This window comes from Homo sapiens, chromosome 2, assembly GCF_000001405.40.
Source record: "Homo sapiens chromosome 2, GRCh38.p14 Primary Assembly".
Taxonomy (NCBI): domain Eukaryota; kingdom Metazoa; phylum Chordata; class Mammalia; order Primates; family Hominidae; genus Homo; species Homo sapiens.
The window spans coordinates 18,293,328-18,312,351 of NC_000002.12; the positions used below are offsets into that span (position 1 = coordinate 18,293,328).

General features: G+C 34.0%; 1 long non-coding RNA gene across 3 annotated transcripts in view; it reads right to left on the minus strand.

Annotated features, from left to right (window-relative positions):
- The window catches only part of LOC105373451 (uncharacterized), a 39,122-nt gene extending 20,958 nt beyond the window's left edge, over positions 1-18,164 (minus strand). For all 3 annotated transcript variants that reach the window (XR_001739301.2, XR_939766.3, XR_939765.3), the window contains exons 1-2: positions 18,035-18,164; positions 8,317-8,457 (exon numbers count right to left, since the gene is read on the minus strand). This is a non-coding gene — a long non-coding RNA (uncharacterized LOC105373451). The remainder of the gene's footprint in view (positions 1-8,316; positions 8,458-18,034) is intronic.
- Between the last annotated feature and the right edge of the window lie 860 nt (positions 18,165-19,024).

A 19,024-nucleotide genomic window follows, 5' to 3' on the forward strand; every position in this document is an offset into this window, starting at 1 on the left:
ACAAACATTTTTAATTCCTAGAGGACCATGGACGGTCCCTCATGGTCTTTTTGTGCTCTTGATAAGTATTTTGCTGACTAATTTTAAGCTGATCCTGCCCCCTCACAACTAGTTTAAGGCCAGTTGGCTGTGCTCCTGAAGAGTGGGCTTTGGTGAAAATCTCAAAGCCTTAAGATGGCAATGCAAGTCCGTAGAAATCAGAATTCGATTTACACAAAACATTTTAGTACCCTCATATATATTAAACATACTATTCTTACTCCAAAATGTTGTGCTTTTTACAACCTTTCTACCATATGTAGAAAAGGAATGACATATAAGGACAGGATTCCGGTGTGTTATTTAAGAAATTAATCATTCATATATGAGAAAAAATTAAGAATGTATGTAATTTTGTTTTGCTTTTGTGTCTGCCTCACCAGAATTACTGCCCCCGATGTACATACCATTTTCTCAAACTATCATATTGAACAGTTTCTCCTGAAAAGTGATTATAAAGATAAGTGTCTGTGTGACACACAACATAGAAATGTCACAATTGGCGATGGTCTATTCATAAATGTCAGCAGAGTGGAGTGTCATGCTTGGAATAGAAAAAAAATTAATATGGAGGTCCTGGTCCTTCTACAATATAATTTATTGCTCAGATGTGCCCTTTTTCATTTAAAAGTGGAATTATTATAATTTGCACTTTGCTTCTATTATTGACACTCGAGTGACTCATTATAATCTTTAATCAATTCTATTTATCTTTTCTTGAATAAAATAGTAAGATTTGAAAAATACTAATATATTAAAACATTTTTGTTTTCATTCTATTTGGTGTTTTAGGTTTGGATAGGTATGTTGTATGTATGTATGTATATATGCATATGTGTCACCGTAATACTATATATACCCATAATATATATTTTATATATATATAATGGATATATGTGTGGATAACAGTATAGTATACTATACATGTTATAGTGTATATAGTATACTAATATATAATGTATGTATGTGTATACATATACACATATAATATACACATATATAATATATATAGTATATAATAATGTATAATATATAATATATAATATAAAATGTATAGTATACTACATATTTATATATAGTATATAGTATGCATAGTACATATATACTATATATGTAGTATACTATAGTGTATATATAGTACACCATATATAGTATAAATATACTATATAGTATATGTACTATATATATACTATATAGTATATACAGTATACATATATAGTATACCTATACTATATAGTATATATAGTGTGCGTATACTATATAGTATATATAGTGTGCGTATACTATATAGTATATATAGTGTGCGTATACTATATAGTATATATAGTGTGCGTATACTATATAGTATATATAGTGTGCGTATACTATATAGTATATATAGTATACATATATAGTGTGCGTATACTATATAGTATATATAGTATACATATATAGTATGCGTATACTATATATAGTATACATATATAGTATATCTAGAGTATATGTAGTATGTATAGTATATATAGTCTACATACTGTATATACAGTATATATATACTCTATAGTATACTATACAGTATAGTATACTATATAGTATACAATATATGTATACTATAGAAACACACTATATATAGTATACTATATATACTATATACTATATACTATATATAGTATACTATATATACTACATACTATATATAGTGTATGTATAGTATATATAAACTATATATAGTGTATATAGTATATATATTATATATAATATATATTATATTATATTATACTATATATTATATGTATATTATAGTATATTATACTATTATATATTATATATTATATTATATATTATATAATATAATATAATTATATATTATAAAATATATATTTTTATATTATATATTTTTAAATATTTTATAATATATATTTTATAATATATATATTATAATTATTTTATATATAATATAAAATATAATAAATATTTTATAATATATATTTTTAAAATATAATATTTATATATTATAAAAATATAAATATATAATATATTATATATTATATATAGTATAATATATAATATGTTATATAGTATCTTATACTATTATACTATATATATTATATAGTGTATATATAGTATACTATATATAGTGTATATAGTGTATACTATAGTGTATATAGTGTATACTATAGTGTATATAGTGTATACTATATACACTGTATATAGTAGTGTATACTATATACACTGTATATAGTAGTGTATACTATATACACTGTATATAGTAGTGTATACTATATACACTGTATATAGTAGTGTATACTATATACACTGTATATAGTAGTGTATACTATATACACTGTATATAGTAGTGTATACTATATACACTGTATATAGTAGTGTATACTATATACACTGTATATAGTAGTGTATACTATATACACTGTATATAGTAGTGTATACTATATACACTGTATATATAGTATATTATATATACTATATATGTATATATAGTATACATATATATTATATATACAGTATATATAGTATATATACTATGTAGTATATATAGTATATATACTATATAGTATGTATAGTATACTATATAGTATATATAGTATATTATATAGTATATATACTATATAGTATATATAGTATATTGTATATATAGTATATATACTATATAGTATATATAGTATATTGTATATATAGTATATTGTATATATAGTATACATAGTATGTATATATAGTATATATAGTATACATATATAGTATGTACACAGTATATATAGTCTATATGTATACTACATATAGTATACATGTATACTATACTACATATAGTATACATGTATACTATACTACATATAGTATACATGTATAGTATACTACATATACTATACATGTATAGAATACTACATATACTATACATGTATAGAATACTACATATACTATACATGTATAGAATACTACATGTACTATACATGTATAGAATACTACATGTACTATACATGTATAGAATACTACATGTACTATACATGTATAGAATACTACATATACTATATATAGTATATATAGTATACTATACATAATATACATATATAGTATATATGTATACATAGTATACATAGTATACATACATAGTATACATAGTATACATACATAGTATACATCGTATACATATATAGTATATATGTATACATCGTATACATATATAGTATATATGTATGCATCGTATACATATATAGTATATATGTATGCATCGTATACATATATAGTATATATGTATGCATCGTATACATATATAGTATATATGTATGCATCGTATACATATATAGTATATATATGTATGCATCGTATACATATATACAGTATATATAGTATGCATCGTATACATACAGTATACTATATATACAGTATATACAGTATACTATATATACAGTATATACAGTATACTATATATACAGTATATACAGTATACTGTATATACAGTATATACAGTATATATAGTATACTATATATACAGTATATATACTATGTATTCTATATATAGTATAGTGTACATAGTATACATATAGTATACACTATACTATATATAGTATACTATATATACTCTATATAGTATATATAGTATACTATATATAGTATATATGTATACTATATATAGTGTATATATATACTATATATAGTGTATATATATACTATATATAGTATATATATACACTATATATTGTATAGTATAGTGTATATATAGTATAGTATATGTATATATACACATGTATACATGTATATATGTATACTAATATATACTAATATATGTATAAATATATATGCATATATACACATAATATATTTGATATATAATGGATGTGTATTATATAATAACTGATATATTTGTGGGTTTATATGTACACACGTAATATATACACATACACACTTCAGTGTGTCAAAAGTAAAAAACTAAGCAGAGACTTCTTGCAAACACAGAGATTTTTAGACAAATATTCAAAGAGGAGAAAATATATATAACCAAGGTATCTGTTAACGAGAAATTATTTCAGTACTGATACTGTTAACCTAGAAAGAATAATAGAAAAACTGAAGAGTGTATTCTACTACCACAGAGAAATTATAGTGTTAAACAGGCAAATGTAGCTAAATCCAGAGAAGAGAAAAATGTATATTTCCTGGGTCCTGATCTTTCTGCAATACAATTTCTTGCTTAAATGTACATCCTTTCCATTTCATAAAATAAAATTGTCGTAGTATTTATTGAGGAATTCGAATAGAAACGCTTGGTGATTATAATAGTATCCTCTTCCTGAGCATATCAAAATCAAAAGGGCCAGAGAAGGCATGCATGCATTCTCCCTCTTTAGATGTAACCCCGCCCAACACATCCAGCATGTGGAATACATATGATTATGCAGAAGCACCTCCCTCCCTGTACTGATAGTTTCCTCCCTGGATGTCGAATTTACTCATTCAATCAAGAGTGAGTTCCTAAAAAGGGAAAAATAAGAACCTGTCTCTGTCCTGGAGCCTGGCACAGTCCAGTGAGATGAAAGAAATAGAAAACAGCTTATTAGTACACTAGGCAATAAGCCTATAGCAGGAAAAACTAGAAAATTCCAGATGAAATCAGAGGAGAGAGTGATGGACTCTGAAATATTGTGAGAAGATTGGACTAAAGAGTTGACATCTGAAATCGGTTTTGATACATTACAGGTATCTTATTAAATTCTCCTATTTTGCCTTCTCCATCTCTCACTCTCTTTTTCTTTTGCTCTGTAATACATGTGGTAAAATTATGTAGCCCTTTTAAAATGCTTCGTAGTCATAATGTTATTTTTAATCTTTCTGCATCTGCTTTGCTTATGTTCTTATGAATAATCTTATTAATACATTTTGCCAAAGCTATCATATCTAGATGAACCTGTGAAGCATGAATTGAGCTAATGTGCCCCCAGAAGGCATAGCACAGGTTTACAGTAATGTTATAGGACTCAGTGAACATAAATATTTTTGTAATAATAATAATAGATATTCAACAATGTAACAGGCTGCTGTGGAGAGTAGTAAGTTCTTTATCTTCATAACAATTTGAGTAATGCTATACTTCTATTAATGTGGGATCATGTTATATTGACTTTAGTTTAATATAGCTACAAAGTTGTTGGTTGGGTCTATGAGAAAATCTTTACATATATTTACTTAATCATCTTGACCTTTTTTATTCTCTCTTTGGACATAATTCTACAAGTCATGACTTTGATGATAATATTTCAGGACCAATGACAGTGATTTTCATCCATGGTAACATGGATGTTGATTTGGTACTAAATAGCAGCAACAACAAAAAGATTATCTGCAGAGATATTATATAATATGTCCAATTGATCAGTCTAAGTTTCAGAGTTGAGAAGGAGAAAGACTAACGTATATTAAGCAACCCACTGTACTATCTCATTCCATCCTCCCCCCAAAATGTGTGGTAAATATTTTGTTCATACATATATGATATATGTGTGTATATATATGTGTGTATATATACAAGTGAACACACACATAATACTTTTACAAGCTGTCGATTATATGTTTACGAGTGAGGAAGTGAAGGCTTAAAATAACTTTTTCATGGTCACATTATTAGTATTCAGTCCCACTTATGATTTCAAATCTCATTGCCTTTCTACTCATAGAAGATAAAATAAACAAAAAAAGAGGAAAGGTTGTATCTGCATAGGCAAAAATAAGCATGCAGTTTAACCAAATTGAAAAAGGAGAAATGTGCACTTTTATAGAGAATGGAGGAAAGACATTACTGAGAAAGTAACTTATTACCAGCTATATTTGGTTGTTTAAAAACACTTTGCCTTGTAATAAAAATTATATTTATACGTACATTGAATCTTTTTTTCTTTTTTTGAAGACAGGGTTTTACTCTGTCACCCAGGCTGGAGTGCAGTGGAATGATCATTGCCCACTGCAGTCTGAAACTCTGGGGCTAAAGTGGTCCTTCTGCCTCAGCTTCCCAAGTAGCCAGGAGTACAGGTGCACACCATCACATTCAGCTAATTTTTTCAAAATATTTTGGAAAGATAGGGTCTTTTTATGTTGCCCAGGCTGATCTCAAACTCCTGGCCTTAAGCCGTCTTCCCACATTGGCCTCCCAAAGTTCTGGGATTACAGGCTTGAGTCACCATGTCCAGCCTACACATTGAAACATTGAATCTTTATTTTCTCAAAATGAGCCTGACCCAGTTTAGGTTATCTCCTGAGGTCAAACAGTTATGAGCCAGGACAAGAGGAAGTCTGTCTGCTTCTGTCAATGTGTAATCAGCCTGCAGAAATTTCTGGAATGCTGGTGGCTGAGATGCCTTTGGTGTTACTCAAGGAGTGTCTTATCTGTAAGACTACTTTTCTAAAGGAAAGGGAAAATAATTCAACCTAAACTTTCTGAATTCACAAAGATTAAATGAGGACAGTGTTGTTGTGGGGTGAATGAAAAATGAGTACAATAGTAAAATAATATAAAGGGAACTAACTCTAGGGTAAGTCCATCAAAATAATTACGCATAAAAGCTCATGAAACAAATACAGGCTTTGTAGGAATAAACGCTGTTAGAACGCCTGAACAATACCTTTGAAATAGTTGCATAATCGTTGTAAGGAAATTAGGCGATGGCTTATGCATATTTCATGAAGCCTGTACGTCGCCCTGTCTAGGCTTGTGCACACACTTACGAATGAACAGCAGCCAAAGCACTCACTTTTGCATTTAATAGCAGTGTAAATCTGATCTGCAAATGTATCCCCACACTTTCTCAATATGCTTTTCCCTAATTTTTTTTTCCTGTAGAAAATTCTACTCATCCTTTAAAGCCTCAGACATAGCCTTGTTGGTAGCTGGTAATACATGGATTACTGATTTAAATAAAAACAGACTGAATTTTGCATGTTTCTAGTACTATTGATAAACACGTTTTGGATTATCCAATTTTATGAACTACAATAGGTCTTTTCTGTTGTAAAAGAAGATCTCTTCTGAATGTAGAAAAAAAAAAAGCTGCAGAGCCATCTGTTAAAGGTATACTGAACATGAACTCTGTGTGAAGTAGTGACAAGAACACTAGCCTGATGGTTAGGAGATATTGGTCCTTATCCTAACTCATCATCGATTCCGTGTGCAACTTTTAACAGACATCTTTCCTGTTGTTTCTGTTTGTACGACTTAGTCAGGAAAGATACCTTGTTAAACGTTGCACAGAGAGTGCAGCTTAACTTGCAGAGTAAGTTGCTTACTATACAGCACATTTAGCTTCTTGCCTTTTCAGATAGACTGTGGTCAACAGGCATTGTTGTGCATCTTTTATGTCCAATAACACTCAGCAGTGTGAGGTACCTAGAAGATACTAAGATATTTCGCTTTAATTGATTTAAATTAATTGGATTTTATTGTTCTCCTGTGTGGACTAGAAAAAACCATCCTTGCTCTGCATACTGCACACTTTGTTCTGTGGCAAATCATTGCATGTGAGGTTATGTTAGGGGAAACAACACATAAGGCATTATGTAAACAGACAGATCGGGGCCAGCATCTTCATCTCAAGAGAAGCAGATCTGACTTATATGGCCTAACCTGTGAATTCAGTAAAGGGAAATAAATCCTTTGTAGGTTGAATAACAGCAACCAAAATACCAGCTCTAGAATCTGCGTGTTGAAACCTCACAATGCTGCAGCATTTTTTTCTGCAGGAATATTGCATCTGAGCTTCTCATCTATTTTTCTGCCTTCATGTATGGGTGTCTCTGATTGATTCATAAATATGGAAAGTCGTTGTCCTTATTTAGAATCAGGACCATGTCATCTTTCCCTGTTATACAATGCTGTCTCACAGGGGCACAACACTTTCACCCACAGTGTTGCTGGAGCTTCACAAAAACAGTGATTCAAGTAAGGAGATTCTCCATATTTTTGGAAGACAAACTCAATAAAATGAATTGATTTGCCAATATCAAAAGGCTGCTTAGTATCAGAGCCAAGATAAAAATAAAGGATGCTTGATTCCCAGACCTCGTCATGGTTCTTTCCCACCATAGTACCTTGGACTTGAAAGGAAAAACTGGTTCATGTGACATAGATCCTTGAGATCAATTACAGCCCATCTCCGGTGTCCATGTTTGACTTCACATTAGTGACCTATAACTATTTAGTTACATTCTCAGTCTCCTGAGTTTCAGTTTGATGCCTTGGTTTACTTCCAGAAAAACCCACAAGGTAGATGATAAGCCATTAGGGAATTATGTTCTTACCACTCTAACAGCAGCTGTTCAACATGAGGTTATACCATCTCTCAGCAGGGACATTGGCATATGATTACCACTCTAAAGACTTCCAAGGATCTTTTTTCTCAGGACCATCCTTACATTGGAATATTTGGCATTCTGTATCTTCTAGAAATGTAGATACATAAAATTTTTGTTAGGTTGGGATCTTTAAGAAAGCTATGTTTATAATATCTTCTTAGAGAGGGCTCCAGCCATTGTAGTCTCTATTCTGACAACTCATCTTTTCGTATTTTAAAAAATCCCCAAATTATTATGCTAGTATCAGCATTAAATTTCTTTCCTGTCCATCCTCATAAAATAACAGATGTGATTAAGTCAATATTTTGGATACTTTAACATTATCTGATTCATTTTCAGACCAAGTGAAGCTTTATCCAGATGTTCATGACTTTGATCTAGAATGGATGGCAAGTATATTTATCAAGACATTAATTGTCTTCTAACCACCAGCTCTTGCATATAACCACGTCATGAATAAAAACTTTAAAAATCAAGTTATTGCCAGTCTAGAAATATGCAAAATATTTTGTTTCCTTACATTGATTATAGACTCTGGTTAATGTTTGATCTAGAATGAATAGGTGATATCTTGCATATCACTGGTTTTCCAGAATCTTTGAAATATATATTTTTATTTCTAAATAGACTTATTCAGAAACATACTTATACATTTAAAGAATGTATAAAATAAAACAATCTGCTTTGTAGCAGCCTTGGTTGCATCACTTTTGTGATAATATATGTAATAAATTTATTAAGGTAAGACTGTTATTTTTCTTACTCCTTCCTATTTCTTAGTAGTGTTATGTGCACAAAATGGATTCTGATGATTTTAACAAATAAATATGTACCACTAATATGTGTAAGCAAGTATTCTAGGTTCCTCATGAACAAGTATCAGTGCTATATAATTTATTTAATTGTATAGATAATTCAGTATGTAGATGTAATTATGACCAATGTTTATAATGTGTTGTGTGCTTCAGTTACTGTCATTTTACTTTAACCAACTACAAAATCTTAAAAAGTGTGAGTCAGAAGCTGAGTGCTAATTGGTATTCTAGGTTTTCAGAACGGCATAAGAGTAGAATAAATGTCGTTGCCTACTTTTAAGGTACTTGTCACCTATATAGGGTGAAAAACCAAGAACAGGTCAATGCCCTTTGGAGCTCCAGGCCTTACCTTGGGAGGAACATTAAGCACAGGGGATTTCATCTTTTAGGCCTCCATGACATTGTTCCTGGCACAGAAAATTCTCTTTATCATTTGCTGATAGACAGGGAAGGTTGAGGGACAGAACAGTCCTGTTCAAAAGCAGGGTCAGCTAAGAGGGAGGCCAATAATATGGCCTGGAGTTTTTGGCCACCAGCCTCCATCGATCCTTCTGGAAGGCCAAGACTATTGGCTATATTAAACTGATCTAAAACAAGCCCTATGATCCCAATTACATGTCCATGAAACATGAAACTATAATATGATATAATATATATTTTCTATATTTTTTCTATATATTTTCTATATTTTCTATAATATATATTTTCTTATTAAGCTTTTTGTCAGGAACACTCACACTAGTGTTTCCTTTTCTAAGTATTAGGGCTCCTTCCATGTCCAAGTCAGCCTCCCTATGCTCAGGCCTGGGAAGCCTCTCCTTCATTTCCATTGACTGCTCCAACTTCCTCTCTTCTCTATGAGAGGTTTTATAACTAAGATGAGCCTACAGAGTGAGATGTGATACTCTACACATGTTCTTTCTTGCTGCCCTACATTATAAGCTTTGTAGGAGAACATATGGTAAAGGAATATAAACATGCAAAAGTGTGCTCCCAAGTTCTCACCAAGGACTTACCAAGTTCTCTTGGTGTCTCTCTCCAGCCTGACTCTTTCTGAGAGGTTAATGTTTGTTTTGATTCTCTTGAGGGTAGTATTGACTGCTCTCTTCCCCAAACCCTTGAGCCTCTTTCATCCTAATTTTGAGGAGTTTATGTGAATTATTTATGCCTTATTGTCCTTTTATATAAGCTTGAAGTTGACGTACAGACAGAACAATGTCTATGAACCTAATTTTATGAACAATAAAATCACAGGAGATGGACCTGGTTACTGAAAGGAAACAAAGCTATTTGTCTGAATATCATTTACGGAAAGTATACTGGGTGCCAGAAACTGGTTTGGTGATAGCTGGATGAATAGGACAAGGCCTTTGCTCTCTAAAAATTTTAGATTTTTGGGAAATAAGTGAAAAGTAAATTACATGTTGGAAATAAGAAATTGAAGTGTTTTGGCCTGGAGAACAGAAGCCTGGGAGCAGAGGAGGGAAGGGAAGCATGGTAGCTGTCTTCAAATAATGGCTGAATAGTCTTAGACAAAGGAGCTAGGAATGGTGATTAATAGGAGCAGATAATTCTGATACTGCTTAATGTACTGAAGGCCTTTCTAAATAATCAGAGCTGCTTGACTTTGAAATTAGCTCCAGTGAGATGTGATGAGCTTCATCTCTGCAGAAGAGGTGATCTCTCATTGAGACATTATGGGAATCTCAGGGGTGCTAGTGGGGCCCCAAGATGCTATTAATCTACTTAGGCTGTGTTTTGTATAACTTTCTGACCTGGGCTCTCAGAACTACAGGGACTGAGTGGGAAACTCTTGAGCCTCAAAGCTAATTTCTCACTTATGATTTCTATCCCAGTTTATTCACCTCGATGTCGGCCTTTCCAAAGTAGCACTTCTATTAAGCATTGTAAAAACATTTCCAGAAATGAATTTTCTTCTTAAATCTATTTTTCTAGCCTCCCTTTGGTGAAAAACCTTGTTTCTTTTGGTTCTTTAATATTCAGCCTTTGTTTTGACTCAGTGTATTTTGCAGTGTTCTAATCATTATTTCTTTGCTACTGTTAAATTACCCCCAATCCCCAGACTTTGCTAGATAAAAGATTGATAAGTATTTTTATTGGAATGCCATAGTCTCTAAACTTCAGTGACTTTGTAAAGTTTCATCAGAAGTGAGGCTTCTGAGTTTTTAGTAAATATAAATACTCATTCTCACTGCTGCTTAGAATTTCACTGATTACACTTTGGAACTGCATAATTGTGTAATTAATCTTGAGAGTGTCAGAATGCATATTTTTAAAAGTAATTTCCTTAGGGAAATAATACATATCTCATTATTTTTTACTGTAATTGATATTCATGGGCTCTTAGTTTATAGGTATAAAACCTGACAGACACGGCCAATATCAGTGCCATATATTATTAAAATGGATTAATTTTTCAAACACATCTTCCATTCAATTTCTCATTAAATGAGGCATTGTAAATTCTGCTGTCAAGGGATACAAATAACATGATTATGCAATACTTGCATTATTCAAATTTTTCTTGGCTAGGATGGTTGTCTGCCATAAACACTGCATTCATTCTTCATGGAAGAGAATTTTAGGACGCAGTTGTCAAACCTAATCAAGAACCAGCTGAAGCTCAAATCTTGAATATTCTCATTGCTTTCACAAGTAAAGAGCATGTGATCATTTATTTACAAATCGCATCCTGGGAGAAACCTAAAGAAAGAGTAAAATTTACTTTACCTGTAGTTTCTGGAAAAAAAAAAAGTATGCCTCATTCAAGGACCACCATTTCTAAAACAAATATGAACAAATGGATGGATGAATAAATGAATCATGATGGTTAAAGGAAGAGTGATACATACCAGCATTGACATGGGTAAATTGAAGTAAAAACACATATGTCTGTCAATAAGGGTATCTTATACTGTGCATTCACTCACAATCACATGGACACCAGTTTGCCACCTACACATAACGATGCTGCCCTGTGCGATGGCTTTCAATTTCTCAGTAATAAAAAGTTTAGTGGAAATCTTGAAGCATTAGGCCTAGATGAATGCCAGGCACTGGGCTATATGAAGTTGAATAAGACAGGGTTATGCTGGTGAAGATCTCATCATGTCATTGGACAGGCACATAACTGAGCACAATAATTCGAACATGATGTTTTTGCAAGTGCCAGCAAAATGCTATGTGCGCCCAAAGAAGACATCATCTCACACTGCAGGGAGTTAGAGGCTAGTAGGGGAAGCTTCTCAGAGGAGGAGAGATCTGAGTATTGGCTTGAAGGATAGCGAGGGCTATGCCTGTGGGAGGAAGGAAAAGAACTCAGAACTGAGAGACCAGCAGGTACAGAGGTAGAAGGTAGGACTGGGCCTGGCATTGGCAAGAATCACTATTAAGCTCCTCAGGGATGGAACAAAGGGTTGGTGGCAGTTGTAGGCCTACCCTGGTCCTATTCTGTGGGTAGTGGAGTGGGTCTGGAGGTTATGATGCAGGGAGGAAGCTAATCATACTGCTTTCTGGAAGGCCACTCTGAAGACAAGGTGGAGGGCAGATTGGAAGATAGCAGAGCTAGAGTGAAGAATTGTTTTTAGTACAGTGCCAGGAAAATGAAAAGAGAAAGTTTGATCTGAAAGATATATACAAGATTGAATTCAACAGGATATTGTGACTGATAGATTCAAGGCACAGAATGAGAGGAGTGGAGAATTAATTTTGAGCCCTGGGTAGATTATTAGGCCATTAATGCAAATCAGAAATTGAAGAGTGGTAGAGACATATTAGATGATGAGTTCAGTTTGGGGCATGCTGCGTTTGACTTGCTTATGGCATTCAGGCACACATATAAGATTTGCGATATCTAGGAAGCAGAGGTTTTTTTTTTAACTTTAATTTTTGGAGCATATTTAGGTTCATAGCAAAAATGAGCTGCAAGTACAGAGAGTTCTCATATATTCCCTGTACCCTCCTGATATGGTTTGGCTGTGTCCCCACACAAATCTCATCTTGAATTTTCACATGTTATGGGAGGGACCCAGTGGGAGGTGATTGAATCATGAGGGCAAGTCTTTCCTCTGCTGTTCTCATAATAGTGAATAAGTCTCACAAGATCTGATGGTTTTAAAAAGAGGAGTTCTCCTGCACAAGCTCATTCTCTCTTTGCCTGCCACCATCCACACAAGATGTGACTTGCTCCATCTTGCTTTCTCCCATGATTGTGAAGCCTCCTCAGCCACGTGGAACTGTGAGTCCAATTAAGCCTCTTTCTTTTGTAAATTGCCCAGTCTCCGGTATGTCTTTATCAGCAGCATGAAAACAGATTAATATACCTCCTTCTCACCCATACAGCCTCCCCAACTACCAACATCCCCCACAGTTGATGGACCTACATTGACACATCATTGTCATCCAAAGTCCATAGTTTACATTATGGTTCACTCTTGGTGTTATACATCCTATGGGTTTCAACAAAGGTATAATGACATGCATCCACCATCTTAGTATCATACTGAATCACTTCACGGCATAAGTAGTCCTCTGTGCTCTATGCATCCCTTTCTACCCCCTAATCTCTGGCAACCACTAAATCTTTTTATTGTTACAAGTTTTGCCTTCTCCAGAATGTTACAGAATCAGAATCATACAGTATGTAGCCTTTTCAAGTTGGCTTCCTTTCCTTAATAATATGCATTTTAAGTTCCTCCATGTCTTCATGGCTTGATAGCTCATTTCTTTTCAGGGCTGGATAATGTTTCATTGCCTGGATGTGCCACAGTTTATTTATCTATTCATCTACTGAAAGACATATTGGTTGCTTCCAAGTCTTGAAAATTGTGAATAAAGCTGCTATCAACACCTGTGTGCAGTTTTTCTATGGATTTGTTTTCAACTCATTTGGATAAACACCAAGAAGCACAATTGCTTGATTATATGGTTGAAATGTGGTTAGTATTGTAAGAAACTGCCAAAGTGCTGTATCATTTTGCATTCCCAATAACAATAAATGAGAGTTCCTGTTGCTTCACATTCTCACCAGCATTTGATGTCAGCGTTCTAAATACAGGCCATTCTAATTGGTGTGCTGTTGTATCTCATTGTTGCTTTAATTTACAGTTATATGATGTGGAACATGTTTTCATATTCCTATTTTCCATCTATGTCTTTATTGGTAAAGCATCTGTCACATCCTTAACCTATTTTCATTTTTTAATCAGATTTTTTGGTTTTCATTGTTGAGTTTTAAGAGTTGTTTGTATATTTTGGATAACAGTCCATTATCAGATAAGTATTTTGCAAATATTTTCTCCCAATCTGTGGCTTGTTTTTTTCATTGTCTTGAGCAAGCAGTTTTTTATATTTATAAAATGGAGAAAATAATTATAATTACTCACTGTGACTTATTTAAACTTTTAATTTTGAAATAATTTTAGATTTACAGAAGAGTTGTAAAGATAGGACAGAGTTCCTATACACTCTACTCAGCTTCATTTAATGTTACCATCTTATAAAACAAAGGTGCATTCATAAAATCGAATAAACAGTAGCATAACAATATTAACTAAATTATAAACCTTATTCAATATCATTAGTATTTATTTGATGTCATTAGTATTTCCACTAACGTCCTATTTCTCTTCCAGGATCCATTCAAGGCTACCATGTTGCATTTAGTTATTATGTCTCCGCAGTCTACCCCAGTTTGATTGTTTCTTAGCCTTGTTTTTCATGACCTTATTACTTTTGAAGGGTGCTAGTTTAGTATTTTGTAGAATGCTTCTCAGTTGTGTTTGTCTGTTGCTTACTCATTATTTACTGGGGTTTATAGCTTTTTGAAAGAATACCACAGTGGTAAGGTACACTTCTCATCATATCATATCAAAGAATACATGATATCAACATGACTTATCACTGGAAATGGCAACTTTTCTTAGTTAAGGTGGTATCTACCAGATTTCTTGGTAACTGTAACTACAGTAACTGTAAAGTTACTATTTTTCCCTTTCTGTACTCTATTCATTAGGTACAAGTCACTAAGTCCTGCTCCCACAAGGGAAAGGAAATTAGCTCTACTCATCATAATTTTTTGAGTCTCCAAAAAGTAAGGATCAGTACAGTTATTCACAATAACATTAGTAATAATAATTCTGCTTTTTTTTCTATGAACATCTAACAGAAGTTATTAGTCACTAAGAAGGAACCATAAAGAAGAAACATCATGAAGATTTCAGCAGCTCAGCTCCAGATATACTTTTCTTTCAGTTACTTGAAGCTTCCCAGAGAAAAACATCCCTTAGGTATTTGGTGGTATTGTACAGACTGACCATCAATTAGGGGATGATATAGATTGAATATTTGTCCCCACCCATATCTCATGTTGAATTGTAATCCCCAGTACTGGAGCTGGGGCCTGGTGGGAGGTGTTTGGATCACATGGGCAGATCCCTCATGGGTTGATGCTGTTGTCCCAATAGTGAGTTCTTGTGAGATCTGGTCATTCAAAAGTTTGTGGCAACTCCTCCCTGACTCTCTCTGTCTTGCTCCTGCTCTGCCATGTGAGACATCTGCACCTTCTTCACCTTCCACCATGATTGGAAGCTTCCTGAGACCTCCCCAGGAGCAGATGCCACTATGCTTCCTGTACAGCCTGCAGAACTGTGAGGCAATTAAACTTCTTTTCTTATAAATTACCCAGTCTCAAGTATTTCTCTAGAGCAGTGCAAGAATGGCCAAATATAAGGGACATTCTACAAAACAATGATTCTATACTCAGCAAGAAGACTCAATCCAAAGCTAGCCATCTGGGCTGTGCCAACTTTATTTCAAAATCACCAGAGGTTGAAATGTTGGCCAAGGGACTAATCTGAATTATGTACCTGAAGCAGCACCTTAGCTGGGAGATGTGAAAACTCAATAATAAACAAATGGCAAACAAAACCAACTCTCTGGGGGAGGCTGCTTAGATTAACTGAATTCTGAACTGAATGTTTATTTATTTCTACAACAGTACTATGTGTTCATAGAACAAATATTTATGAGCCATGGCACATGTTTAGACCAAGAATTGGGGTAATAAAAACTGAATTTCAAGTTGAATGTAAATACAACTATGCACAAGTTTCTGAACTGAATAATAAACATCCATATAGCTTTTAGGCACCATATGTGATTTATAGTATTTAAATATCTAAAATATCTTTTCTCTGTTTATAAGTGCTGATATTTTCTTCCTAGTCTCTTTTTCCCTTTCTTCTTTCACAATATTTGGCATATTGTGACATGCTGGGATTCCCCTGAAGGAGCAGCCATACCTTTCCGAACAAACCCGGCCATGCTGTGTTCAGTGATAAGGGACAAATTTCACCCAAGAGTTCACTTGGCCAAAGGACTAATCTGAATTATGTACCTGAAGCAGCACCTTAGCTGGGAGATATGAAAACTCAATAATAAACAAATGGCAAACAAAACCAACTCTCTGGCGGAGGCTGCGTAGATTAACTGAATTCTGATCTGAATGTTAATGGAAGACAATGGAAGACACAACAGGAAGAAGGCTTATGAAGCTGGAACCATGTTTGGGTACTCTTTGTATCTCCTGCTGGGCTCATGTTTCTTTGAGGACAAGAATAAGGAGTGATTTTTTTGGAGAGTCATGTGCCCAGTAAAGAGTCTGGCTAAGCCATTCATTCTTTCCTCCCACAGCATCCATGGCTGGCAACTTCTATTATAAAAGTGAATGATCAAATTTGAATTGAAAAGCCACAATCTGAAGGCAAATCCATCTTGGCTGGAATTCCTTGATTCTTGACTACGTAAAACAGCATATTGCTACTTACACCTTTTAAGTAAATAATAACAAATTCTTCCCTCCAAACACAAGAATTTGATCCTAATATGGCATGTGTTAATCTGACCAACACTTTTTTTTTTTGCAATAAATCTATCTTTAGAAGGCAGTGAATTTCTTTACTAAGGTCCACACTTTATCAAAGTCACTGCTCAGAGATAATTGTAGAATAGTACAAAGAATACAGAATTTGAAATTAAATGATTTGGTTCAGATACTAGCTCAATTTGAAAACTGCATGAAGATTAAAAATGATACAAAATAAGAGATGATATTTGACCTGGGCCTAGAAGGCTGAGTTGGTTTATCATCTGGGGAAGGGGCAGAGCACATGAAGGTGTGAAGCATGAAGATGCTGGTGTGTGCCTATGGAGGGAAGTGGTGGGAAGTAAAAAAAAAAAAATTAGATTAAGCCTAGGTTTAAAAGTGACAGATGCAATGTTGAGAAGTTTAAGACTTGGCTATAGGGCGTAGGAAAGCATTAGAGTTTCCTGAGTAGTTTTAAAAGGGTGATTTTGGGGGTGATGTGAGGTGCGATCAGAGGAGGTAAGACTAATGGCAGACAGATGTGTCTGAGGGATGTTTCAAGAGTCCACAGGAGGGAGGATATATGAGGGAATGTAAAGGAATACTGGATGGAATATTTGTGAAGTCAAATCTCCAGACCCTCCCATCACTTCATGGATGTAGTAGAAAGACAGCAGATTCCAGAGCAAGGGAAGATACAAGAGACAATGAAGGAGAAGGACGGACAGTACTGGATGATGAAGTGGGTAGGAAGGAGAAGAGGAAAGATTCTAAGAAAACTTCCCTGTCTCCAACTGGGGTAATAAGAGTGTGGGTGTAAGTAGAAAATGTGATTTGAAAACGGAAAAAGTTGCAGGTTTGGAGTGAACAATGAAAAACAAAAGCCAGTTGCAAAGAGAGGGCTTGAAATCTTGCCATTTATAAGAGGGTTTCGAAGGCTGCTTCCCTTTTCTTTATTTCTCACCTGTGGGAGGGGTTGGTCCAAATGGTCTCCGGGGGCTTTCTGGATTTAGCTATAGATCCCGTGTTTTTCAGCAAGGTTCTGTAAGCTTCCTGGCTCCCTGAGGCTCTCGGGGCTGTAAGAGCTTTCTGCTGCTGTTGGATGATCTCAGACTCAATTATGGGTTCCCACAAGTGTGCTTTGAGGCCAGAGATTTTCACACACTGGAAAAATGCTACATGAGAGGAAAACAACCTCCCACTTTGGGGAATGTAATGAGGAAACATGAATGTTTCCAGCTAACTGCTTTTTATGGGCTATGAATAAGTAAATACAGAGTGAAATGGGAGAGCAAACATGTGCTTCAATGGAGAAATATTTGTTTAGTGAGCTAATTGGTACTAGCCCAATTTATCCTTCAGAAGGGCAAAGCTTGGTGTGCTCAGTGTGGGACCCGAGTCTGAGGCAGACCTTCTCTGGTCCAGATGGCATCACTGGTTCTTTGGTTCATTTGTACTTTCATATATCAAACACTTATTTGGCATCCACATCATGCCAGACTTAGTGCTAGGCCCTAGGACACAGATATGCACAGCTTATAACTTTAAAGAACTCCCAGTTCACTGAGTGAAAGAGGCTTGCATACAATTAATTACAATGTCATTTGGCAGATCTGAGATGAGAGATACATGTATGCACTTTATTTCCTTATCTCTTGTCTTACAGGCATTAGCATGTAAGAGTAATTGCGCATTTCTATTCCATGGAGATTTCTGGGACTGGGAAACAATATAAAACATCTGAAGCATGTTGTGTACCTACAGTGTGTTTCCCTTTGCAACAATCCTGCCAATAATTGTTTTTGTAGTTGAATAGCTAAGACAGAGTGAGGTTAGGTGATGTTCCTCAGATCACAATAGTAAGCATACAAACCTAGATAGAAGCAAATGTTTAGCTCCAGAGCACATGTATTTTTCTCCTTTATTGCATGGTTTGGAAATGTGATCTGAGAGC